This window comes from Homo sapiens, chromosome 2, assembly GCF_000001405.40.
Source record: "Homo sapiens chromosome 2, GRCh38.p14 Primary Assembly".
NCBI lineage: Eukaryota > Metazoa > Chordata > Mammalia > Primates > Hominidae > Homo > Homo sapiens.
In genome coordinates, this window is record NC_000002.12 from 46,982,180 (window position 1) to 47,005,888 (window position 23,709).

The 23,709-nt window shown below is 52.4% G+C and overlaps 1 protein-coding gene across 18 annotated transcripts in view, besides 8 other annotated features; it reads left to right on the forward strand.

Annotated features, from left to right (window-relative positions):
• The window catches only part of TTC7A (tetratricopeptide repeat domain 7A), a 160,258-nt gene that overhangs the window by 66,314 nt on the left and 70,235 nt on the right, over window positions 1-23,709 (forward strand). For 15 of the 18 annotated variants that reach the window (XR_007078570.1, NM_001288953.2, XM_047445148.1 and 12 more), the window contains 3 exons: window positions 11,271-11,349; window positions 12,178-12,335; window positions 12,957-13,020. Coding sequence is in view for 17 of the 18 variants with exons in the window: in NM_001288953.2 (NP_001275882.1) it covers window positions 11,271-11,349; window positions 12,178-12,335; window positions 12,957-13,020 (301 nt within the window). In the remaining variant the exon portion in view is untranslated. Of the gene's footprint in view, window positions 1-11,270; window positions 11,350-12,177; window positions 12,336-12,956; window positions 13,021-16,585; window positions 16,701-23,055; window positions 23,363-23,709 lie in introns of those variants that run through there. The other 3 variants (NM_001288955.2, XM_024453013.2, XM_011533001.4) reach the window with 3 other exon arrangements.
• Window positions 1,146-1,375: an enhancer, noted in NCBI's record as "active region_15717". NCBI's record gives its function as "activates an Ori minimal core promoter by ATAC-STARR-seq in GM12878 lymphoblastoid cells {active_cell/tissue: GM12878}" and the evidence as "EXISTENCE:reporter gene assay evidence [ECO:0000049][PMID:35858748]".
• Window positions 1,416-1,555: an enhancer, noted in NCBI's record as "active region_15718". NCBI's record gives its function as "activates an Ori minimal core promoter by ATAC-STARR-seq in GM12878 lymphoblastoid cells {active_cell/tissue: GM12878}" and the evidence as "EXISTENCE:reporter gene assay evidence [ECO:0000049][PMID:35858748]".
• Window positions 2,236-2,295: an enhancer, noted in NCBI's record as "active region_15719". NCBI's record gives its function as "activates an Ori minimal core promoter by ATAC-STARR-seq in GM12878 lymphoblastoid cells {active_cell/tissue: GM12878}" and the evidence as "EXISTENCE:reporter gene assay evidence [ECO:0000049][PMID:35858748]".
• Window positions 2,666-2,715: an enhancer, noted in NCBI's record as "active region_15720". NCBI's record gives its function as "activates an Ori minimal core promoter by ATAC-STARR-seq in GM12878 lymphoblastoid cells {active_cell/tissue: GM12878}" and the evidence as "EXISTENCE:reporter gene assay evidence [ECO:0000049][PMID:35858748]".
• Window positions 5,252-5,752: an enhancer, noted in NCBI's record as "H3K4me1 hESC enhancer chr2:47214570-47215070 (GRCh37/hg19 assembly coordinates)". NCBI's record gives its function as "activates a minimal SCP1, AML or CMV promoter by ChIP-STARR-seq in naive H9 embryonic stem cells {active_cell/tissue: H9 hESC(naive)}" and the evidence as "EXISTENCE:reporter gene assay evidence [ECO:0000049][PMID:30033119]".
• Window positions 5,753-6,253: an enhancer, noted in NCBI's record as "H3K4me1 hESC enhancer chr2:47215071-47215571 (GRCh37/hg19 assembly coordinates)". NCBI's record gives its function as "activates a minimal SCP1, AML or CMV promoter by ChIP-STARR-seq in naive H9 embryonic stem cells {active_cell/tissue: H9 hESC(naive)}" and the evidence as "EXISTENCE:reporter gene assay evidence [ECO:0000049][PMID:30033119]".
• Window positions 20,394-20,559: a silencer, noted in NCBI's record as "fragment chr2:47229712-47229877 (GRCh37/hg19 assembly coordinates)". NCBI's record gives its function as "represses an EF-1alpha promoter that drives an FKBP-Casp9 reporter gene in an ReSE screen in HepG2 liver carcinoma cells {active_cell/tissue: HepG2}" and the evidence as "EXISTENCE:reporter gene assay evidence [ECO:0000049][PMID:32094911]".
• Window positions 22,211-22,923: an enhancer, noted in NCBI's record as "H3K27ac-H3K4me1 hESC enhancer chr2:47231529-47232241 (GRCh37/hg19 assembly coordinates)". NCBI's record gives its function as "activates a minimal SCP1, AML or CMV promoter by ChIP-STARR-seq in primed H9 embryonic stem cells {active_cell/tissue: H9 hESC(primed)}" and the evidence as "EXISTENCE:reporter gene assay evidence [ECO:0000049][PMID:30033119]".

A 23,709-nucleotide genomic window follows, 5' to 3' on the forward strand; every position in this document is an offset into this window, starting at 1 on the left:
CTGGGCAACATAGGGAGACTTTGTCTCTACAAAAAATAAACAAAACTGGCCAGGCTTAGTGGCATGCACCTGTAGTCTCAGCTACTTGGGAGGCTGAGGTGGGAGGATCATCTGAGCCTGGCAGGCGGAGGTTTCTGTGAGCTGTGATTGTGCCACTGCACTACAGCCTGAGCAGCAGAGTGAGACCCTCTGTCAAGAAAAAAAAAAAAGAATAGGTTGGAAGGGCCCCTACTGGGAAACAGGCTGCCTCCCTTTCTCTCCTCATGCCTGGCAGACAGGAGAGTGAGAACCACAGCTGTGAAGTCAGCACACCTGGGAGCCAATCCCAGCTCTTATGACAAGCCTGTGTGTGCATGGGCAAGTCCCTTGAGCTCTCTGAACCTCTGCTTTCCTTATCTGTAAGCTGGTGGTAAGGACCGTGCCTGCCTTCTCATAGCATTGTTGTGGGGATCAAATTATATGTGAACACCCACCCACCCATCCACCAGGGTGCCTGATAGATCACAGCTGCCTGGAATTCATGCCTGTAATTCCACAGCTTTGGGAAGCTGAGGCAGGAGGATTGCTGGAGCCCACAAGTTTGAGACCAGCCTGGACAACATAGTGAGACCGTCTCTACAAAAAAAAATTATTTTTAATTAGCTGGACATCGTGGTGTGCACCTGTGGTCCTAGCTGCTCGGGAGGCTGAGGTAGGAAGATTGCTTGAGCCCAGGAGATCGAGGCTGCAGTGAGCCATGATCCCACCACTGCACTCCAGCCTGGGCCAACAGAGCAAGACCCTCTCTCAAAAAAATAAATAAATAAATAAAATAAAAATAGAAATAAAGGAAAAGAAAAGGAAAATCAAAGCCAGTATTATCATTTGTTTTATTATTTTTGTGTAGTCCACAGCTGGACAGGCTGCTGGCCCAAATATGAGTCACCTTTTGTTTTCTTTGTGTAATTTCTCAAGTGGTAGGCCAGGGAGGTGGTGGTGTCTCTGTTTGGAATATGTGGATGTGGAGGCTGGGAGACCCGAGGCAGTTCACCTGCAAGGGTAGGGCCTGCCATGGAGTCCTGGGCTGCTTGGACCACTTGTGCCAGAGATGGGGCTGAGGACGGCCCGGGGCACTGAGAAGCACAGCTGCCTCGCTCCACCTCCACCATCTGCTTTTTTGATCCTTTTTCGGTTGCTGAGCTTTGGTTTCAGAGAAACGGTGGCCTGGAGGGCTGGTTCCTGTTTTCATGGCCCGGCAGTTGAAGCTGGAGATCACCACTCCCCCACGGCTGCTGCTTGGAGCGCCCTTGTCTCCCTCTGCCAGTTGTGAGCTCCCAGGGATGAGTCTGGGGGACCCAAAGAGAGGCCGTCCTCAGCTGTGCCTGCAGAGCTCTGTCTGCAGAGATTTGGGAGGAGCAGGGGTCACCACTTTAACTCCTCAGTGACTTATGAAGCCCGGCACGGACCTGGGGCAGTTGTGCCTGTAAGGCAGGGGTGGCCTGCCGCCACTTTTCTTGTAAATAAACTTCTGTTAGAACACAGCCATGCCCCTTCATTTGCATATAATCTCACCACAGACTGGAGTAGCTGCATTTGGGACCTTATGGGAAAGTCTGTAAAATTTGCTGTCTTTATTTGCCCTTTAGAGAAAACAGTTTGCTGACCCCTGCACTACAGAGGTTAAGGAGTCCTCCCTCCCTCCCAAGGACCTGTATAGGCACGAAGGCCAGAGGAGCTGTTCTTATCTATGAAAGCTTCCTGGAGTGGATTTCGTGGGGAGGGGACAGTTCTAATTTCAATACTCTGTCTCCTTTATTCATCCATTTCAGGGATATTTCTTAGGATAATGCATGCCACTTAGGAAGGGCTAAATTCACACCAGGCACTTGCATGTCTGTTAGTCCTCCCAGTATTCCCTGAGGGAAGCACCATATTTAGCATCCCTGCTTCACAGATGGGAAATCGAGGCACGGGGAACAAAAATGACTTGTCCTTGGTAGAGCCAGGATTCTGTGCACAGGGCCCGGCTGACTTTCTTAGCTGGCGGTCTTATCTGATAGGCTACACTGCCCACAGCAGGAATCCTGTTACTGAGCTGAGCCCCTGGGGATGCTCACGCCCTGCAGGTGCTGTGTCCCAGCTTCTGGTTTGAAAACTTTGGTGGGTGCCCTCACCATCTGGAGGAAGTAAGGGTGAGGCCCTGGGGTTGGAGGCCACTCTGTGGCCCTGAACAGGTTCCCCCTCTGCCCCTCTAGTTGGCTTTCTCCCCTCTAAGATGGGGCTTCTGTTTGTCCATGTCCCAGAGGGTGTGAGGGTCCAATGAGAGGGAAGGAATGCAAAACACCTGGAGTATTTTCACAGCTGTTAACTTCCTCTCCATTGAGAGCCCCCCGACAGCCACCTCTAGGGGCTGCCTGCTCCCCTTCCCCACAACTGAATTTTCTGCAGGTATGACTTTAATGTGAACATCAAGGACAGCCAGGAGGGAAAGAGGGAGAGAGACCAGTGGCAGTCATGCTTTGCTTCTGCTGGGGGCCTGGCTGAACCATGTGCTTGGTGTACAGTGCTCTGGGAAGGCCAGGTGACCCCATTCACTAGTGAGGGAGGCTTGGAGAGGTTGAGTCACTTGCCCGAGCTTACCCACTGTGATTCCAGCTTCGGGCCTGAGCGGCCTGGAAACTCATGCCATTTCCAAATTTTGGGGCGTGGAAGGACAGCCTGGGCAGCCCGTGGGTGTGTGGGAGAAGCCAGGGCCTAGTGACAGCGGGGAGCATAGAGCTGATGCACGGTGCGCTGACTCCCACCCCTCTGGGACCCTGAATCACCATTCTCAAAGGATGTCTCCTTGCAGGTGGTCCCACCCTCCCTAGAGCCTGCTTCCCCCTGTCTGCACTCTGTGCTGAGGCCACGCATGAGGGTTGTGGGTCAGTGGGTATGCAGTGCTGCAGTGGGTGGAGGTGTTGACTGACCGTCACCCCCCAGAAAGCCCAAGTGCTTTCAGTCACTTTCTGTTCCTGTAGCTCCACCCCCTCCCTTCCTCTTCTTTCTTCCTGAGGCACATGTTTTGGTCCTTACAGCCAGGATCCTGGCTCCACCCTGCCCCAACCTCACCACCCTGAAGAGGGGTAGAAATTGAGTCATCATTTCTTTTCAAGGAAACAGCCCAAACATTTGAAAGTCTTGAAAGTCTTGGCGTGTAAGTAGCAGTCCCAGGACACGTGGCAGTTACTCAGCCCCTGTGTCTGTTTCCTGTGGCCCATCCAGCCCAGAGGAGCTGGAGTTGCAGCCTGTGTGGCTGGACTGTAAATAATTTCTGTGCACCTTTCCTCATAATTGTGGCTAATATATGTTGAATACTTAATACTTAACTTCATGCCAGGTAGAATGCAAATGCCTTTCTGTATAATCCTGTGATGCAGGAACTAATACAATCCCCATTTTACTGAAGAAAGGAGAGGTTAAGTAACTTGCCCAAAGTCAGAGCTCACAGGTGTAGACCCCATGAGCCTGGTGCTGAAGCTGGGTCTGTCCAGCCCATGGCACCACGCCCAGCACAAAGCCTGCCCATGGCATGTCTACATCAGTGAGCCTGTGTAATACCACATTGTCCCTTGGTCACAGTGATATCCTCGTAGGTGAATCATCAGTTTCAGTATTTTTTTTAAATGCATTTGTTGTTAGGAAGTTAAAAAATAATATAAAGATACCTTAGCCCAGGGTTTCTCAGCCTCAGTACTGCTGATATTTTGAGCCAGATAACTTCATCATGGGACTCTGCTATACATTGTAGGTTTTAGCAACGTCTCTGGCTTCCACCCACTAGATGCCAGGAGCACCATCCCCCCACTCGCCCTGGCCAAGTGTGACACCTGGAAATGGCTCCAGACATTGGCACGTGTCCTGGGTGGGGGCACAGTTGCCCCCAGTGGAGAACCGCTGTCTTAGCTTAAGGTGCTAGAAGCAGAATACCTGTCAGATACTGACGTCAGCTCATCTGCATTCGGGCATCTCTGAATGGTCTGTTAAAGGGCTGTGGAGTCAGGCAGCATTTTCTGCTGGTTACATTCCATCCTGCCCTCCTAGCCTCTTGGGTTGTTTGGGAAGCAGGGAGAAACCCTTCTCGGTGTTCAGGGAGCTTACTACCCCGTGAGGGGAGTCAGGTTTAGGTGACGAAGCCCAGAGAAAGGCCCTCAGTTCCTGTCCTGGGTTGCCTCCCAGTGCCTGCTATGGGCCAGATGCCCCGCCCTCACTGCGGGGTTCGAGCTATGGCCAGGAGGAGGTCCCCTCCCCTCGTGGAGTGACCGTCCCAGAGGGGAGCCTGTGGTGGAGACGGTCAGGCAGTGCTCTGTGCTGGGGGGGAAAGAGGCAGAGAGGTGGGGGTGCTGCCTGGGGTGGGGTGGACCCTGAAGGTGTCTGAGGAGCAGTTCGCCCCAAGGGGCCAAGAGTAGAGCAGAGGTGCTGCAGTTCCTCAGAGTCCCAGGGAGAGGGAGGGATGGTGGAGCCTGCTTCCTGCCTGAGCTCATTCCCACATGGGCCTGGGTGGACCCAGCTGCCAGCGAGACTAAGGAGACCCTGCTGAGAACAGGGTGGGGCCAGATGGCCACAGGCAGTGCCCGCCCCCAGAGTCCGGCTCGTCCCTCCCATTGAGGACTTGACCTAATTTAAAGAGTGTGCTGTTGTCCACTGTGTACGGTGGGTGGCGATTGCTGGACCCCAGACGCTTTCCTTGGAGCTTCAGGAAAGCCTGGGCCTCCCTGTCTCTGGCTAAGCCTGAGACTGCTGCCCAGTTCCTCATCAGAATGTCTGAGGGATGTTAATTTCCTCCAGGAGTCTTGCCCTATTGATTCAGTAGCTGATTCCCCCAGATGGCTCTTGCCCCTTGCTCTGTGGCTGATGACAGGGTTCCTAATTGAGCTAGAACTGAAGGCACAGGCCTGAAAGGACCATCAGGAATTGGGAGGCCCCAGTGCAAAAGAGCCCTCGGTGGGTGGGGGTGGAGGGCGTCTCTTCCCCTCACCGCCACTAGAGGGCAGCCGTGGACTCTGGTTGGAGCCTCGCCCCAGGCAGTTCGGCCACCTGGTTGCCAGAAGGGGGCACCTTTCTGACATGTTTTTTGGGGAGGCGGGCAATGGCTGCTGGGGCCAGGGTCCAGACTATGGGGGAGGCTCCAGAAATGAGCTTGGTTCTCTTTTGCATGAAACAGCTCTAGGGGTGAAGCAGTGGGGGCCTGAAAGGGGAGGGGGACCGTGCAGTGCCAGAGAAGCTGGTTGTCCCTGTCAGTGGCTCTAACTGCACTAGGACAAGTGCCTGGGCATCTCCCAAGGACAAGAATGTGAGCGGACTCTGCTCCTTTACCCAGAGTGGGCAAGAGCCCATTTCTCTCTGAGTTGGTTTTTCCCTTCCTTCCGCCTAGACCTGGCAGCACCTATTCTTTGCTCTGGGTCCAGAGTGAGCTTGGGCCGTGCACATTGAACCAGGTGGGCAGCAGGTTTTGTGCTTGTTCTTTTAATTTTGTTTTAATTAGTAAAGCAACATGTGCTCACTGCACCAAAATCAAACAACAGAGAAGGGAGTGGCTGTGTTTTCTAAGGGAGTTCCCCAGGGCTTTGGCAGGTTGTTCAGGCCGGTGAAAGCACTGTCCCTTTCCGCGCGTGTGTGTGTGTGTGTGTGTGTGTGTGTGTGTGTTTGTGTGTGTCACCTTTCCAGCTGGATGCCGAGTTGGAGAGGCAGCAAAGGCACCTTAGAAAGCCCAGCCTGCTGTTTGGTGTGACCCCCATGAGGGGTTCCATCAGTAATTTTGCCTTGTTCTAGTAGCCACCTGGTATCTGCAGGGCTAGGGGAGGACAGGAGTCAGACTGTTCTCACAAATCTGGGGTTCCAGGGCCACAGTCACCGAACAGCGAAGCTCATTCTGAGAGCCTCCTGGTGCTCTGTGTCATGCTTTGGGGCAGAGGGTAACCTCTGAGGCCCATTCCAGCCTCTCTGAATGCACAGCCTTTGTCTACTCTTAGCACTACCTCCTCAACCTTCCCCACCCCCATCCCCGGCCTCACTAGAAAGGAAGGAGCCCGGCACCTGGATGACATCCTTGGTGCCACAGGAGGGAAATGTCACAGCCCTATTCTGAGGCTGGGGGTGAAGAGGAATCCTCTGTTTGAAACAGAGGATTTGGGTCTGCGACAGGGGTGAACAGTTTGATGACCATTTGAACTTCACCTGACCTTGTCCCCTGATTCACCCGTTCAGCTGTTGGGATCTGCCAACTAGCTATGCTCTTCTGGGTCTTTGACTGGTAACCTTTCATACACAGTTAGCAGTACTGGCCCTGGAATGCGGACATCTGGCCAGGGCCATATGCACTAGTATCTGTTTAGGTTCCATTCAGCCATCAGTTCCATGTAGTTTCTCATTCTCTGTTTCAGCTCAAACCCAGTCTTCCCCAAATATTTTTTTAACACTTACTGTGTGCAGAATACTTGGCTAATCTCTATTGTGAACAGAGCTGATGACCAGGCACTTGGTAGGCAGCTGGCACTTTGTAAAGACTTAGCAAATTGAGTCCCAGGAGTTCTGGAGTTCACATGGCCAGGAAAAGAAAATGTAACCATGCTGGGTCAAGAGACAGGTGTTGTCTTTCTCAGGGGTCTCAGGGTGAAAAGAGAGGAAAATCTGAACCCTTTTGTGCTTGCCGTAAGCCTGCCTCTCCCTTTTGGTAAGTGACAGCCTGGAAAGGCAGGCATCTTCCAGGCTCTTTTTCCTGTTGGAACATAGGGATTTATTTATTCAGTGATCATTTCTTGAGCACCTTCTATGCACCACACATTGTGCTGGTACAGGGATAATGAAGCCTGTCTCCCTCACCAGCCTCATTAGAAGCTGCACGGACTGAGTAAGGTAAAGGAAGGGCTCCGCGAAACGTGTAGCACTGCCTGCTGCCACCTAGGGGACTGGGGAGCTTGCCAGCCGCTTGCACATCCCACCCAGAGGCTCCCCTAAGATGAACCGTGTCCTTGACCCATCATCACACCCACATCTGTCTTTCTGTTCCTGGCCAACCAGGCTTTACTTGACTTGGAATAAATGGCTTCCTGGCTTCTCCCCACGCAGGCTGTTTCTGGGCCAGGGTTTGTTTGAGGCCCTGTTTGGATATTGTTAAAAGTGGGCAGCTTTGCTCAGAAAGGTCAGCATGAGAGACAAGAACAAAGAGATCTTTCAAGCTGGCCTCTGGCAGGGCAGCCAGCAATGGCTCGGAAAAGCCCCAGCTCCACCTGGCACTGGCAGCTTCAGAGCTGGGACGGGATTGCTCAGGCTCATGGCCATCTGCAGAGCCCTGGAGAAGCCCCGTGTGCTTTCTCATTTCTCAGAGGAGTAAGCTGAGGCAGAGGGGCATTCTCAGGTCAGTGTTAGCTGGGACCCCAGATCTCTCCCTGTACAGCCCTGGCCACTGGGACCTCTCTATTTTTTTTTTTTTTTTTCTTGAAGGACATTCAATAAAAATTGGGATTTACCCAAAACATGCCTGAGGGTGATTATTTGGTTTGCAAAAGAATTCCTGGGAGCTTACATGCTAGAGTAAAAAGACACAGCTTTTAGATACAGAATCTTAAGATGCATAATGTGCAGTCCTGATTCTTTAATTGCGTGTGTGTGTGTGTGTGCATCTGTGTGTGTGTGTGTGTGTGCATCTGTGTGTGTGTGTTTTGGAGGGGAGTCTGCATTTCTCCCAAGCTTCCAGGTAATGCCACTCTGCTGGTCCAAGAGCGTTGATGATGTAAAGGCTAAAGGCTGAGCTCATTTGGCAATGCAGAGAGAGGACAGTCCTTGCGGTGGAGTGGGAAGAAGGGGCCACAGTCATTCTTGGCTTTGGCCTCTTGGTAGCAGGTGCCAGGACCTGCCGGCCCCCTGTAGGCCACAGGGCCCTAGGCAGCCCCGGGGTCCAGCCCTCTTCAGCCTGCTGCTGTTGGGCCCAGCTGCCAGGGTTGTCCTAGACTGATGTCCCAGAATCAGCCAGTTCTTTTCTCTTCCTGGAGCTCGTTGAGGTCTGTCCTTTTACTTAGTTTGCTGCAGTCTGTCTTTTTCCTGTCTTCTGGTGGTGGCTGGTGCTGGGCTGTCCCCTTAGCTGGCCTGGCCTGTGGCCTGCTCTCCAGCTCTGGGTTATTTCCTGAGACAGAGGCCTCAGTGGAACCGAAGGAGCTTCTTGTGGGGGGCCCGGGCCTGTCCTTGGGCCTGGCTTATCTACCAGGAATCCTGTTCTTCTGTCCTCTGTGGGGCAGAGGGCTGGTAGGCGGAAGGTGGTCACAAAGCCGAAGGGTCCCTGCAGGCACTTGTGTCCTCTCCCCTACTCATGAGCTCCCAAACTTCCAAACTTTAACATAAGTCAGAACATAAGTCATATGATCTTCAAGACCCAAATTAGAAGGAGAAAGGAAGAGAATATTTAATGAACCTCTGCTACATGCCTGAGTGTGCTTGGGGCCACATGTATGTCATCTTCCTAACAGGACTATGAGGAAATGAAAAGAGACTAGGACTTAGGGAGGCTGCCTCACTTTCCCAAGATTACAGACTTAGGGACTGGCTGCAAAGCTGGGGTTACTGTGTCAGATTGTCCCTTCTGAAGCCCGACTTCTTGAACTAGGAGAACTAGAAGACCCCAGGGCATCCCCTAAACCAGTGGTTCTCGACTTGAGTGTCCATCAGAACCCCCCTGGTGATCTGATAAAGCCCAGATTGCTGGGCCCCACCCCAGGGGTTGGTTGGTTGGTTTGTTTTGAGATAGGGTCTTGCTCTGTTGCCCAGGTTAGAGTGCAGTGATGCGATTTCAGCTCACTGCAACCTCAGCCTCCTAGGTTCAAGCAATTCTCCTGCCTCAGCTTCCCGAATAGCTGGGACTACAGGCACGGGCGCCACCACAGCCTAGTTAATTTTTGTAGTTTTAGTAGAGATGGGATTTTACCATGTTGGCCAGGCTGGTCTTGAACTACTGACCTCAAGTGATCCGCCAGCCTCGGCCTCCCAAAGTGCTGGGATTATAGGCATGAGCCACCACACGTGGCCCACCCCAGAGTTCTTAATTCAGCAGGTCTGGGTGGGGGTCTCAGAATTTGCATTTCTAACAAGTCCCTGGGATACGGACGCTGCTAGTCCAAGTACTACATTTTGAGGCATTCTTGTCTGAATTATCATTTCTGGCCAGGCGTGGTGGTGGCTCATGCCTGTAATCCCAGCACTTTGAGAGGCTGAAGTGGGAGGATCACTTTAGTCCAGGAGTTCGAGACCAGGCTGGGCAACATAGCAAGACCTCATCTCTGCAAATAAAATAAATTATCATTTCTTAGAGTGTGGGACAAGTACTTCTAGTGACACACAATGTGGTTTTAAGTGATGTGCACACTAACTTTTAAAAAATACTTCTGTTATTTCTAAGGGAAGGTGAGTTATTTACTCACCTTAAAAGAAGAAGGAAGATATAAGGAAAAGTACGACATAAATAATAATACCGGTGATAGTATTATTAGGACTAATAGTGGTAAACATGGTGAATGAGGTATGCAGTCTACAGAAGTCTGGGAGACACTGAGCTAAGTGAAGTCTTCATTTTACAGACCTCACCCAGACTTGATGGTCTCTAAGGGGGCTGAGGTTCCCTGTCCTGCTTGCCACTCCCAAGTTTTCAGAGCACTTGGCAGGCTAGCGAAGGTCATCGTAACTCTGATCCTACCCCAGGAGTCTCCATTCTCAACTCTGAAGACAAGGGTCCATCTTGCTTGCGTGTCCTGAGGCCAGAGCTTTCCAGAAGGCAAGGGACTTGATCTGCAAAGGTGTCCTTTCATGGCTCCCAGGCCCCAAAGCCCCCAGGAGCCTGTTTTGTGCATGAAATTGAAGAAGGGGCTTATGTAACTTTCTTGGCTGCCAGCTTTGGCTCTTCACCCTCTGTGATCTTAATTTTTCTGAATTCGCCAGCCCAGCAGCCTCTGCTTTCCCTTGTGTGGTGTGATCCGGGGAACCCCCTGAGTGGATGAGCAGGGCAGCCCTTACACTTTCCTGAGCATGTGCTACGTGGCAGGAGCTGCTGGGTGGAGCTTTAGAAACACGGGAGCGATGCGCCTGGCCCTCAGGTGGCCACAGTGTGCGAGGGTCAGACCTGCAGGTAGAAAATGACCTTGAGTGGTTTTACTTGCTTCAGAAGAGGAATTAACAGGCAGGGCAGCATGGGGAGGGGTCTGGGGAGGCTTCATGGAGGAGGTGACATTGGAACTTGCTTTTGAAGGATGAAGTGGGGAAAGGCCACGTAAGGCAGTGGAAGAAGCCAGTGCCGAGACTTGATATAGGGGACTGCGGTCATTCAGAAAGGACTTGCTTGAGTGCTGGGGGCTGAGGTGGGAGAAAGGTGAGGGGCAGGCCCCACAGCCTCAGGAAGCTACGCTGAGGGCTTATTCTGTGAGCCCTGGGGCCACTGTAGGGCTGGACTTGAGAGGATCCAGGTGACCTTCCTGCATCCACTAGACCCCCAAGGCGCAGTGGGAGCAGTTTTTCACATTGTGGGCCACAGCCTGTTAGTGGGAATGCAAGATCTATTTAGTGGGCTGCAGCCAGCATGTTACAAAATGGGGGTAGAGGTAGAAGGAAAATGGAAAACCTCAGTGTTGATTGCACATAGGAGAGATGGGTATTTTGTCGAGAAACTTCGGTTTTATGTCAGGGAAGTGTATGTGGGTAATGGGTTGCCATGTAAGATGTATTTGTCACTATGGCTCACACTTTTAAAAGCTTGAAAACTATTTCAAGGCACAGAGGCTGACTGAAAGTGGCGAGACTGGCTGGTGTGGTCATCAAGGCCCAAGGTGAGGCAGGCCAGCCTGGGGCCATGGTACTGGGGACAGAGAGGGGAGGATGGAATCCAGCATCAATCGGATACAGCAAGTGAAGCTGGAGAATTTGAGACTGACTGAGGTCAGAAAGTCTGACACCAGCCCAAGGCTCTTAGTCCAAGGTCACACCTTGTTTGAGATACTCAATCTTGGTACCCCTTTGGTGGTAAACCGGAAGCCCAAGTTGCTGGGGGGAAAGAGGGAAAGGGACTAGGGGAAAAGGGATCCTCCCTCCTTTTTGTTGATGTCCTGGGCCTCTAAAGTCCTGGTGTTACAACTCTAACTTTTCACTCCAGTTATCGAATGTGTTCAAATAAAACTCCAGCAGTCAGCTCCTCCTGGGGTCTGCTGGTGTGCTGAGAGCATCCTTCTTTGCGAGCTAGGCTGGTAACAAATCTACTTCTGCCGTCCTCCCACCAGGAACATCGTGAAGGGCATGAGAGAGCTCCGGGAGGTGCTGCGGACTGTGGAGACCAAAGCAACTCAGAACTTCAAAGTGGTAATGTGGGGTGCTGGCAGTGCTGGCTTATTTAGGAGTCAGCTTTGGTGGGAGACAACAGAAGTCCTTGCAGGGAGCCTGTGAAGCAGGGGTGGCAGTAGGTCTCCTGCCTGCTTGTGGCAGAGGTTGGTAATCAATCTCAGCATCCTTTCCCACGCAGCCAGGGAGGTGCGGCCTCTTTCCCCCCGCGGCATTGCAGATAGTCCCTCATGTTAAATCAGATTTCAGATCTACTGCCAGCGCTTCCCTGGGCAAACTGTGTTGACAAACTTGCTACCACCACTAGCAAGGTGCTATGCGAACTTTTAGGGATTTGTTTATGATCCTAATAAACAGCATTGACCCTGCTTGCCTGCCCCAACACAGGCCTGCCCTCCTAGTCCTTAGTTTGTCCAAACCAGAGAGCCACAGCTGCTTCTTATGCTATAATTCTCCATCGAATATCAGAAAGGCACCTGAGAGAGAGAGAGCTGCCCATGCCTGTGGCATTATGCTCTTCCCAATACTGCAAGGTCCTGCTGAATACTCAGAGTGGGGCTGGGCTCCAAGGGGTCAGGAGAGGGAGGAAATGCTCCTCTTGTCTAGGAGAGGAGAGAAGAGAAAAGATGAGGTAGGAGCCGTCTGAGGCCAGCAGAGGGGTGGGAGCGCCAGTGTTGGAGGGACTGAAGGAGCAAGGGGGCTCCTTGGGAGTGGGGTTGGGGAGTTTACCCAAAGGGCCGCACATTGCAAGCGGGGCAGATTTAGCTGGGATGGGCAGAGGGCGTTCTAGGTCATGCTGGGGTAGAGCTGACAACTGTGCCTGGGTCCGAGTGCTTCCCTCTCTGCCAGATGGCGGCCAAGCACCTGGCGGGGGTCCTGCTGCACTCCCTGAGTGAGGAGTGCTACTGGAGCCCCCTGTCCCACCCTCTGCCTGAGTTCATGGGCAAGGAGGAGAGTTCTTTCGCCACTCAGGCCCTGCGGAAACCTCACCTCTATGAAGGAGACAAGTAAGTTCTGCCTGCCCTGCTGCACCTTGCCAGTCTCACATCTCACGCAGGGTTCTGTCCCCACTGGTGGCTTCCTCTTTGCCCCATGCTCTCCTCCAGTCTCCACTCAGCACACTGCCAGCCAGCCTCCTCAGTCTCAGCAGGAGCCAGATGAACTAGAGAAGGCAGGTGTTGGGGTCCAGGTTGTGGAGATAATCCTATAAGGCACTCGGAGACCAAAGAAATCATTTAGAAGTTACCTGTCTTCCCAGTAGTCTTGTCTGATACACCTCTCTCTCGCTTGTGCCATTCATCGAAGGTGCGGTCTGTAGCCAACCAGCAGAGCGTAGTTCTGGCTTCTCCCTGCTTCTTGCCCCAGCCATTCCCTGCAGTGCTGGTGCTGGGAGGAATGTTTCCTCCCTGGGAGAATCCGTACTATTCCAGCCCAGCAGCCACCACCCACCGCAGCCTTTCAGATCCATAACTCTGGGGCATATGGTATCCGGTGCCCATGAATTATGCAGGAAGAGGTCACCTTACCGAGCTGGTGCTGACTCTGGGGCAGAAGGCTGGCATGGTGGGTCAGTGGTGCTGTCTGGTGAGGTGTGTGCTCTAGCCAGGCCTGTCATTGGTGTCTTTCAGCCTCTACTGCCCCAAGGACAACATCGAGGAAGCCCTCCTGCTCCTCCTCATCAGCGAATCCATGGTAAGCTCCAGGATGTCCTTCAGGGGCCTCTGGCCCTCTGACCCTGTGGGGAAGGGCTGTGGGGCCCAGGTACAGGCCACCCGTGACCTAGCCAAACTCTGTCTCCCAGGGATACTCCTAAAGTAGATGCTTCTTGGCCCTGGGCCCCCATACAGCAAGTCTTGCTCATTAGGTTTGGAATTGGCTGTCGAAGGCTTCATTTGGAGGCCTGCGTTCTGCCCCCAAATAAGTAGAGACTGAGTGCCTAAGTCCCCACCCACCTCTTTTGGGATTAAAAAGATGATCATCAACAAGGTCACAGTAAAATGTTACATAGCTGTGTGTTGGGTGCTGTGACAGATTTGAGAACATGGCAGGTAGGGAATGGAAGGAATGTGTACTTTGGAGTCAGAAAGCATGGAATCAGGTTCCAGTTCTGCGTGTTAGTTGAGGGCTGGGGCACATCACTTATTTTCTCTGAGCCTCCGTTTTCTCCCCTGTAATATAACAATACTCACAAAGGTAAGTGTGCCTATGGAAGGAGTTCATTTATTCACGCAACAGCTATTTATTGAGCATCTACTTTGTGCCAGACCCTGCTCTAGACACCAGAGATGCCGCAGCAAACAAAATGGAGAAAAGTCCTTTCCCTCGTGGAGCTTACATTCTAGTAAAGGGAAGCAGGCAGTAAATTAATCAAAAACTACAATATGCAGGATGTCCACGCGTGAATGCTATGGGAAAAGAACACAGAGGAGAAGACAAATCGTGCTAGACAAAGCACACATGAAGTTGGCTGTTTAGACTTTTCTACAGGACCCATTGCTCATGTCCTGGGCAGGAAGATGAGGCAAACACAAGCACGTGGATGCACGCACACACTCGTGCTTGCACACATATGGTGGCCATGGTACCAAGGAATGTTTGCCCAGGGCCAAGCACTTTGGGTGCTCAGCAAAGGAGAGTGCACTGTGGCTGTGTGGTTGAGGAGGTGGTAAGATGAAGGATGGACTGGACTGGTCCAAAGGGGGCACAGGAAGAGTGGGGCAGGAGCATCAGAAGCCAAGCACACAGGAGTCATCTACATGGTCAGGTCCAAGTCCTCCGACCAAGGGGCCCATCAGAGCTGGTGAGCTGGGAACCACCAGGTTGAGAAATAGGTTTTTAAAAAAACGACGCATCTGAGAGCAGTGTATGGATATGGAGGTTAAGAAACCAAGATCCCGTGAGCTGGATCCCTGAACAGCCAGAAGTGAATGTTCCCTTGGATGCCTGGGACCATGCGATGCCAGGGCTTGCTTAGATAGCGTTGGTAATCAGATTGCCTCTGGTGCCTCAGGCCTCCCAGCAAATAGGAGCAGGCGCTGGCCTGTGGGGCAGAGGGATTGCATCCTGCCTCAGCTGGGGCTGGTCCATGTTGGATCTGAGAGTTTCTGTGTAGGGTGTGGATATTTGGATGGGAGTGCCAGCTGGCCAGGGTGTTGCCCTAAAATGTTTGCCTGTGAGGTGGGTAAGTGGTTGCCCAGGGGAGGGGCCATCTCGCTGGTTAGCAGCTGTGGAGATACAGGGACCATGTGCCACATCTGATTTTCATGGGAGAACAGTGTGCTTTTTACTTTTTAAAATGGGCCCTTACTCTGACCACAGACTGAATCCTAGTTTTGAAATATGGAACCCCAGATGCAGACCAGTATTCCCATCCCCTCTCCGCCATTTCACCACGTTCACCCTCCAGTGAGACTGCCCTGGAATCATCTGTCTGGAAACACAGAGTTTTTTTTGTGGTGGTTGTTGTTGTTGTTGTTGTTGTTGTTTTTTGAGACAGAGTCTCCCTTTATCGTTCAGACTGGAGTGCAGTGGTGCGATCCTGGCTCACTGCAACCTCTGTCTCCCAGGTTAAAGCGATTCTTCTGTCTCAGCTTCCCGAGTGGCTTGGATTACAGGTGCGCGCCACCACACCTGGCTGATTTTTGTATTTTTAGTAGAGACGGGGTTTCACCATGTTGACCAGGCCAGTCATGAACTCTTGACCTCAGGTGATCCACCTGCCTCAGCCTCCCAAAGTGCTGGGATTACAGGCATGAGCCACTGTGCCCGGCCTAAACACCGGTTATTTTGTGGCCTTTGTGTACTGAGGCTTCCAGTGCAATTTACAGGTAGGTGGTGAAAGGCTGGAAACGGGGTCGTCTGTTAGGTCCTTTCTCAGCTAGGGAGGTTCCAAGCTGATTAGGTGCGCATTATGTTGAGTCATATGAAATTGCCAATTTTCAATTGTTTATGACCTGCAAAAACAACAGTTTCATATAGTTCAGTCTAATACTGTATGTTCCCATCTTACAGATGACAAAAGTGAGGTCCAGGACAGGTATGGCTGTTGGTCAAGGTCATATACTAATAAGCCTTGAAGCCATGACTCGAACATGTCCTTCTCCCTCAGCAGTTTCCAAGCCCCAGGACGCAGGGCTCCTGGACTTCCATCCTGGTACTTCCCTTGCCCACTGCTCTAATCCTTGTTCTTAAGTGTAAAAGGCCAAGGAGGTGACTTTGGGGATCAGAGGGCTTTGTAAAAGGGACAAGCCTGTCAGGGTGAGGATGGTCATAATTTTTCTCCTGGTAGGAGTGAAGCTGAGCTCTGTCTTCCCAAGTCATTTTCTGTAGCCTCTGCTTGATCTGAGTCCTCAGGACAGAGTTCAGATGCCTTTCAGTTAAGGCTGTCCACCCACCCCCAAACCCTCCAAGTGGAGAATGGCCTTTTACAGAAACATGGCCCGTGCTTGGAGCCAGGTGGGTTTTCCTGAGTATGCGATCTCCTCCAAGCAGCTCTTTCCCTTTTGTAAGACAGTGTGGCTGGCAGCCTGCCTCAGAGACTAGGGGTTATGGGGTGGGTGAGTCTGGGTTGGCTGGCCAGGTGGTGTCCTGGGAGATTCCCTGTGGCATAGGAAACAGAGGCACTGCCCAGACGCTGTTTGCACTGAGGCTGGGAGGAGGCACCTCTTGTGGGGTTGGCTGGTTTGTTTCCCCTTACGCACACCCAGCCTGTTAGACATTCAGAAACTTGAGGGATTTGGGGGAGAGTATTGGCAATGAACTTAGTTTTAGTGTTTCATCTGCAGTGACCTTTCCCCCGGCTGCTGGATCTGGCCTCTGTGGCTGGGAATGGTTTCTCTAAGTGGCCAGACCTGCCTTTTCTCCTGCCTTTGTTTTAAATTCTCCTTCCCTCCAATCTCATTCTTGATCAGTGAGAGGACTAGGGTATGGGTTCCACTCTACCAGCCTCCCAAGCTCCTGCCCTGATACCTCTCAGCTGAACCCCAAGGCTCCATGTACCTGCAGGGTTTTCCTCATCCCGCTTTGATGTTGGCTGGGTTTGGCTACAAATGATGGGCTTGGGGAGAAACCTCTAGAACAGCAGCTGGTGACCTTGGCTGCTACTTAGGTTCTCCTAATACCTGCAGAATGCATTATGCTGCAGTGAAAGCTTTTTCCACAGAGCCAACCCAGGAGGCATCATCATCATTGCTTCCACCTCCAGGACATCCAGAGCAGCTGCTGCAGGAAACGGTGTTTGCAGGCCTCCTTGTTTTGTGGTTTGGAACTCAGGAGTGGCTGTGTGGTGTGGGGCTGCTACCTTGGATATGGTTTTTATTACAAGCTGACTATGTGCGATCAGAATGAATGAGGGAGACCTTGTCTTTCAAGAGGTAAATAGAAACCTTACTAATGCTTTCACAGGAATGCAAGGAGGATATAAGATATAACTGGTTGAAGATGATTTCTGTTTTGGACCTAGTTTTGGGTCTTCGGAGCCAAAATGACATTTAAAAATCCACATACTTATCATTGATTCATTCATATATCGATCACCGACCCACTTTACCATTTATCCTTCTGGCCATCTACCCTCCCATCATTTCTGCATCCGCCCATCCTCCTACCCACCATTCATTCGTCCACTTATTAATCCATTCATCTACCATCCATCCATCCACCCATTAATCCATTCATCCACCATCCATCCATCCACCCATTCATTCATCCGTCTACCCACCCACCCACCAACCATGCATCCCCCTACCTATTCATCCATTTATCCATCCACCTCCCATTCATCCGTCCACCCTTTCCTCCATCCATCTACCCACCATTCATCTGTCCACCTATTCATCCACCTATCATTCATCCATCCACCCATCATTCCATCCATCCCCCATTCATCCATCCAGCCACCTACCAACCCTGCATCTACCTACCCATTCATCCATTCATCTGTCTATCCACCCACCATGTATCCATCTAATCTTATTCAAGGAGCTACAGCATGCGGGACCATGCTCAGCAATGTAAAGACAACGATTAACAGTTCAATCATAGTTCCTGTCCCAAATGGACTCCCATCTACTGCAGTTTGTACCCAGGGATGTGGAGGAAACCCTGGTCCCCAAATCAGAAGGAATGACCCCAGCCTGCTGAACCTCAAACGTAAATTCTTGTTTTTGAAAGAACCGTGTATCAAACCAGCCTGATTTTCTGAGACAGCTGGGGAACTAGGAGATACAGGAATCTTTCTTATTTCTGAAATACTGATCTGGGGCATAAAAATATGTGCTAAAGTAAACTGAACCCTTGGATCCCTGTTTCATTCAGCTGGCGAACAAGTTGCTGCTGTTAGAAATGGAAAGGGTACAGAGCCCTGGTGTTGAGAGTGGGGTGGATAGGTAAGTCTCTGGGTCCTGGGACTCTGCAGATTAACAGACTTTGTGCCATGCCCAATGCTGGGCATCTGGCTGTTTGAATCTTGAATTTACCATTCACAATCTGTGTGGCCTGGTTGAGCTTCTTACCACCCTGAGCCTCGGTTTTCTCATCTGTAAAATGGAGCTAATAAGATCTTTCTTGTATGACTTTGGTGAATTAAATAAGAAAATGAATGTGAAGTGCCTGGTACATTTTGGTTGTTCAATATGTCCTGATAAATTTCCTCATTCTGTCCTGATAAATACTTGATTCTGACTTAGTCATTTTTGAAAATGTTCAGGTCTGATTGGGAGATAAACTGGATTAAGGGTGCCATTCAGTTAAAAAAAAAAAAAAAAGTGCTTCCTGGGCTTGATTCCATTAGGGATTCAGCAGATGAGCACAGATTGTTTCAGCTTTTGGGATCTGGTTTGTTCTAACACAAGGCCCTGCTCTGCTGAAGGCTGAAGCGGTGAAGGGTCTGATAACACTGCCAGCTTAGAGCCCTTGGTTCAGTGGAGGTGGGAGAGCCTCTCTCTCTAACCGGCAGAAAGAGCTGTTTTTTCTGCTGCAGGAACCTGACGCAGCAGGAGCTCGGAGGCTGGCGTGGGCCTGGCCTGGGTCGCTGGGTGGATGGAACATGTCACAGAGCATGTTATTTCTTGGCTCTGTGGACTGGCAGCTCGAGAGCCAGTGGTAATTATGTCTGCTGGTGGGGACGACAGCACAGGGGGAGCATGACAGTGTCCTCCAGGGAGGGGGCAGGTGCTGGGTACAGATACTGCCAGGAGACTTGTTTCTGGGGTAGTTTTGCGGGGGCTGAGGGTGGCAGCAACAGGCCCTGAGCCTTGTTCCTTGGCCAATGGAGAGCCTGTTTTTGAGAATGCGGTTGATCAGGGCCTTGGACTTGTTGCCCAGGGAGCATGTTCTTTGCAGAGAAGCAGCACCCAGGGCCTGATGGGAGAAGCCTGGCCTTGTGTTTTGCTTCAGTTCTTTTATAAGCAGAGCCAGCCCAGGGTCTCTTATGGCACGGATGAGGCTATTGGGCACTTCCTCGGAGGTACCTGGAGGCACAGAAGGAGCCAGGAGTGAAGTCAGAATGTCTGGGCTCTAATTTAGGTCCCAACCCCCTGTCTTGTATGCATTGGAAAGCTTACCTGGCCTCCCTTAGTCTTCTCATCTGTAAAATAGGCTGAGAGTACACAGAAGATTATTGTGAGCATTGTGAGATGCCGTACAGAACATGCTCCACATGGTAGTTTCCTTTCCTTCTCTTAGACTGGAGCCCTGTTTATGTCCAGGGTTAGAGAGGAGAAACAGGGCTGGGCAGAGGGAGAGGTTAGTGCTGCCTGTGGCCCTGCAGCCACCAAAGGATCAGGACTAGTCTTGTATCTTACTAGGTTGGAAAAAGCTGGCAGAGGAGCCCCCAGGCAGCTAGAGCTCAGGCAAGCAGCAGCAGTCCCAGACTGGCCGACTGAGGGAATGGGGGGTGGTTCAGCCTCAGCTCCCTGGGACCTTATGCAAGGTAGTTCATCTTCTGGGGCTCAGTGTCCTCATCTGCAGAGGGTGGGGGGTGGTCAGTGGTTTCATCCCTGCCCAGGGTTACTGTGAGGCCAGATGAGACGGTGGATGTGACAATTCAGCTTCTAAAGGAGTAATGCAGGCCGGGAGCGGTGGCTCACGCCTGTAATCCCAGCACTTTGGGAGGCCGAGGCGGGCGGATCACTTGAGGTCAGGGGTTCAAGACCAACCTAGCCAACATGGTGAAGCCCCGTCTCTACTAGAAATACAAAAAAATTAGCCAGGCGTGGTGGTGGGTGCCTGTAATCCCAACTACTTGGGAGGCTGAGGCAGGAAAATTGCTTGAACCCAGGAGGCGGAGGTTGCAGTGAGCCGAGACCACACCACTGCTCTCCAACCTGGGCAACAAGAGCGAGACTCTGTCTCAAAAAAAAAAAAAAAAAAAAGAGTAATGCATGTCACACGCATAGGGCTGGCTGTTTGACCAAGAGTAGTCCCTGCCTTGGGTTTCTCATGGGCCAGCCTGCCTGAGGCCTTTCCCTAAGGTCCCATGTTTGCTTCATGGATACTTGGTCAAAGACCAGAAATGTGTTATGCTAGCAGTGCTGAGCTGTTGGGTGATGGGTGTATGGGGACTAGCGTTGTTTCTTTGGCTTCTCCTCTTCTGACCTGCCAGAAGGCTTGCAGTGAATGTTCTTTAATTGAGGAGGGGCTACCCTAGGAGAACAGCCGGAAGGACAAAGGCTAGGAGCAGGACAACTACACAAGCCCTAGGTTTAAATCCTGGGATTAAATGCATGGATTAAACGGAGCAGTGCATCCCCAGCGCTGGGCAGCCTTGGGGTGGGTGTGGGGGTTATGGCAGTGCACACTAGGCAGGGAGAAACCAGAGGAGAACATTCTGCCATTATTCTAAGAACAGTGAGGAAGAGACGGTGAGAAGATTTAATGTTCATGTATTACTTTAAGGGTCACAAGTGCATTCACATCTGTTACTGCATTTGATCTAGAGGATTTTCTAATGAAAGAAAGCAGGATTCTGAGGCCACTTCAATGGTGGAAGGGAAAGAGTGTGGCTGGGACTAGGTCAGAGCTACTCCCAGAGCATGGGGGTACACCATGTGGCCTGAGGGCAGTGAGCCAGGGAGGAGGGAGCAGGACAGCTGGGGGTGCTGGGAAGGAACTGATGCTCCCATAGTGTCTGAGGCCCTGGCCTCAGAGGCTAGCCCTGGCCCCTGAGCTGCACATTAATTCTGTTCTGCTGTGGCTTACCCACCAGCCCCCATGCCTGCCTTTTCTCTGTCCCATTTCCCCCTACCCCTCCCTGTTGCCATGGTTACACACACAGGCACTGCCCAGCAACCACCAGGAATATTTCACTTCGGCCCTGCCCCAAAGCCATAGTAACCACTCAGCCCACTTCTGCTTCTGGCTGGGGAATCACAGCCCTCTCTTGCACAGGCCCCAGTTCGCACCAGTCCCTAGGACCCCCAGGGAGCCTTCCTGGCTGCCTGCCTATTGAGGGCCTATCACCAGCCTGAGGATTTGTGCTGCTGCTGCTGCCGCTGCTGCTAGTATGCTCCTCTCTTCTGTTCCTATTCTTCTGACCTAATTAACGCCCGGTTCTGAAAATCCACCCCTCCCTCTGCCAGACACAAATTCAGACACTGTTCTCTTAAAGGTCAAGGTCTAGGGTGGACAGGGGGAGGTTTCCACTCCAGGCCCAGAGTCTTTCTCTCCTGAGTGTCACACCCTGCAGGTTGAGTCAAGTTCTGTGCGTGAGGCTGTGCCTGGGGCCAGGAGTCTAGCCATGAGCAAGAACTGGTGAACCAGACGGGGGCATGTGAGCTGAGGCATGGGCTGGGTTGGGGGAGGACAGGAGAGGCCTGACCTCTCCTGGTGAGATGAGTTAGGGATGGTGCTGTAAGAGGGTGGTCCTGAATGGGGTTGTGAGGAGGTAGAAGGTGTCCAGGTTGATAGAGGGAACTGCAGCATGACCGAAGATGGGCCATGGTGACTGTAGGGACCAGCAAGGGGTTCCATGTCACTGGAGAGAAGCCCGCCAGTTAGGCTGCCCCAGAAAGGAGTTTAGATTTTATCCTGATGGCCATAGTGATGGCTCGCAGCCCACTATCCCCTGAACAAGATTGGTCTGCACAGACAGGCAGGAGGGTCCCCAGACCCTGGATGTGCCCAGCCAAGCTTCTTCCCACCCCTGCAGACTGCCTGGCTCCACCCGCTCCCATCATAACCTCTTGCTTCCACCAGAATTCCAGGTCAGCCTCCACTCGGGGATGTGCATCCTATAATGCTGCTCCTTCCTGTTCTCCCCATGGGCAGGGCCTCTGTGCCCCCGTCCTCTCACACCCGAGCCACTCTTGCCTGTTGGAGGCCGCCCCTGTGGGTCCCCACCCTGGGTGGCCAGAGCTGGGGAGCTGCTGGAGGTGGTGGAGTGGGTCAGTACATCGCCGGGGACAGAACGAGGGCTGTATTCCTAGTTGGCTCAGGGGACTAGCTCCTGCCAACCCTCTCCCTAGAATTTCTTCTCTCTTCCTGTTGGTGGCTGTGTGGGTGGACTTCACTGGGAAGGAGGGGGATTTCTTGGCACCTTCTTTCTCCACTCCTCTCCTTCAACCCTTTGGAGCTCCTGAGTGGCTCCTGTTCCACAGGCTGACTCCAGAGCTCAGCCTTGCCGGGATTTCCGGGCATCCCGGCACCCTCTCCTGGGCCATCTAAGTCCATGGGGGCATGGGCAGCACTCACCAACTGTGGCAACAGGGCAGCCATCAGAACCCCTGGCCACCAGTCTCTCAGTGACTGAGCTGTCCCCCAGGGTGAGTCACTTCCTTGGGTCTTGGAGGTGTTTTGGCTTCCAGAGGCTTCTGGGAGGACTCCCTCCAGCCCTGCGCTGCAGGACACACCCAGAGCCTGTGGTCTGGAGGCCTCAGGGGCTTGGGCTTCTGCCTCCAGCGCCTCACCTGGAGGAGGGGAGAGCAGTCCTGCCCAAGGGAAGCTGTGAGGCCCACTTGCTGCATAGGAGGGATGGGGTAGCTCTGATGAGGGAGATCTGGGTTTTTAGGGCTGGCAGCTCCTTTTTATTCGGTTAGGAAGGCTGAGTCCTTGGTCTTGAGGTCCTGTGTATGGAAGCAGAGGAGGGCAAGTACTATTGTACAGAAGGAGGCTCAGACAGAGGGAGGGAGATGCAGGAGAGAGCCCCATTTGGCAGAGGGGAATGAGCAGGAGAAGGGAGGATGCTGGGGGCGGCCCCCAGCAGCATCTGCCCAGAACACAGCTCTGCCCAGCTCCCGCACAGCCCTTGGAGTGGGGGTGGATATGTTACCATTTCTGGCCCCAGAGTGTCCTCTGCCTAAGTCCCTGCCCTGTGGCTGCTTGGAGGCCCCCATGACTCCTGCAGCTGAGGAGCTTCTCCCTTTCCACCTTTTGCCCCCAGCCTGCGTGTTGCCCCCAGGGTATAGAGGTGGGCAGAGGGGTGGGACTATCTGCACATACCAAAGAACACAAGAGTCCCACATCCTTGATGGGGAGCTTCTGGCTTGGTGATGAGGAGCTCCCCTCTTGGAATTAGACAGAATTTCCCGCTCATACAGCACCTTTCCCTCTCCTACCGCCACCCCCAGCAGCCATCTGGCAACTCTGTGAGCTACTGAAATCCTCGGCGCTGGACGCCAAGAGCAGAGTTCTTGAGTGTGGGGAAGCTCTCCCTGGGGAGGGACGGAGGAGAGTTTCCATGGTTGGAAGGAGCCAGGAGAGGGTCCGGGCTGGACACAGAGAGGAAGGGAGGGGGGGGCTCTGGGAATGTCGTTGTCAAAGCTACTTGAGAGGCTGAAGAGGAAGAGAAGAGGGCACTGGGGGCCACAGCCCAACCTCCCCACCAAGAGTCAAGCAGCAGAGCCACCTACCCAATCCAGGCACTTTCACATCTTAGCCAAAACTCTTGCTGTAATTGTGAGAATTGCAAACACACCAGGGACTGTTCCATAAAACGACTGGCCTGTGCTCCTCAAAAATGCCAGTGTCATGAGAGAGAAAGGTGGAGGGCCGCTTCCAGATACAGGGAGATTAAAGAGACATGGCACCTGAATACAAGGTATGATCCTGGACTGGATCCTGGACAATAATAGTTATATAGAGAGAGGAACATTGAGGAAGGGTTTTCGGTTATGAGACTATTCTTGCAACTTTTCTGTAGGCTTGAAATTTTGTAGAATAACAAATTGAATACCAGAAGCTTGACCCCTCAGAACTGCTCCCTCACCTAAACTGGGCTAAGGGTGAAGGATTTTCTCTCTTGGAGAGGGCCTTTGTGGAGATAGGAAAAGGCCATTTCTGGGAGTGTGGCCATCTTTCTGGCTTGGGGCAGTGGCAAAAAGGTGATAGCGGCTGGGCCAGCAAGGTGGGGGCCCTGCGAAGACAGACACCTGCTTATCTACTCTC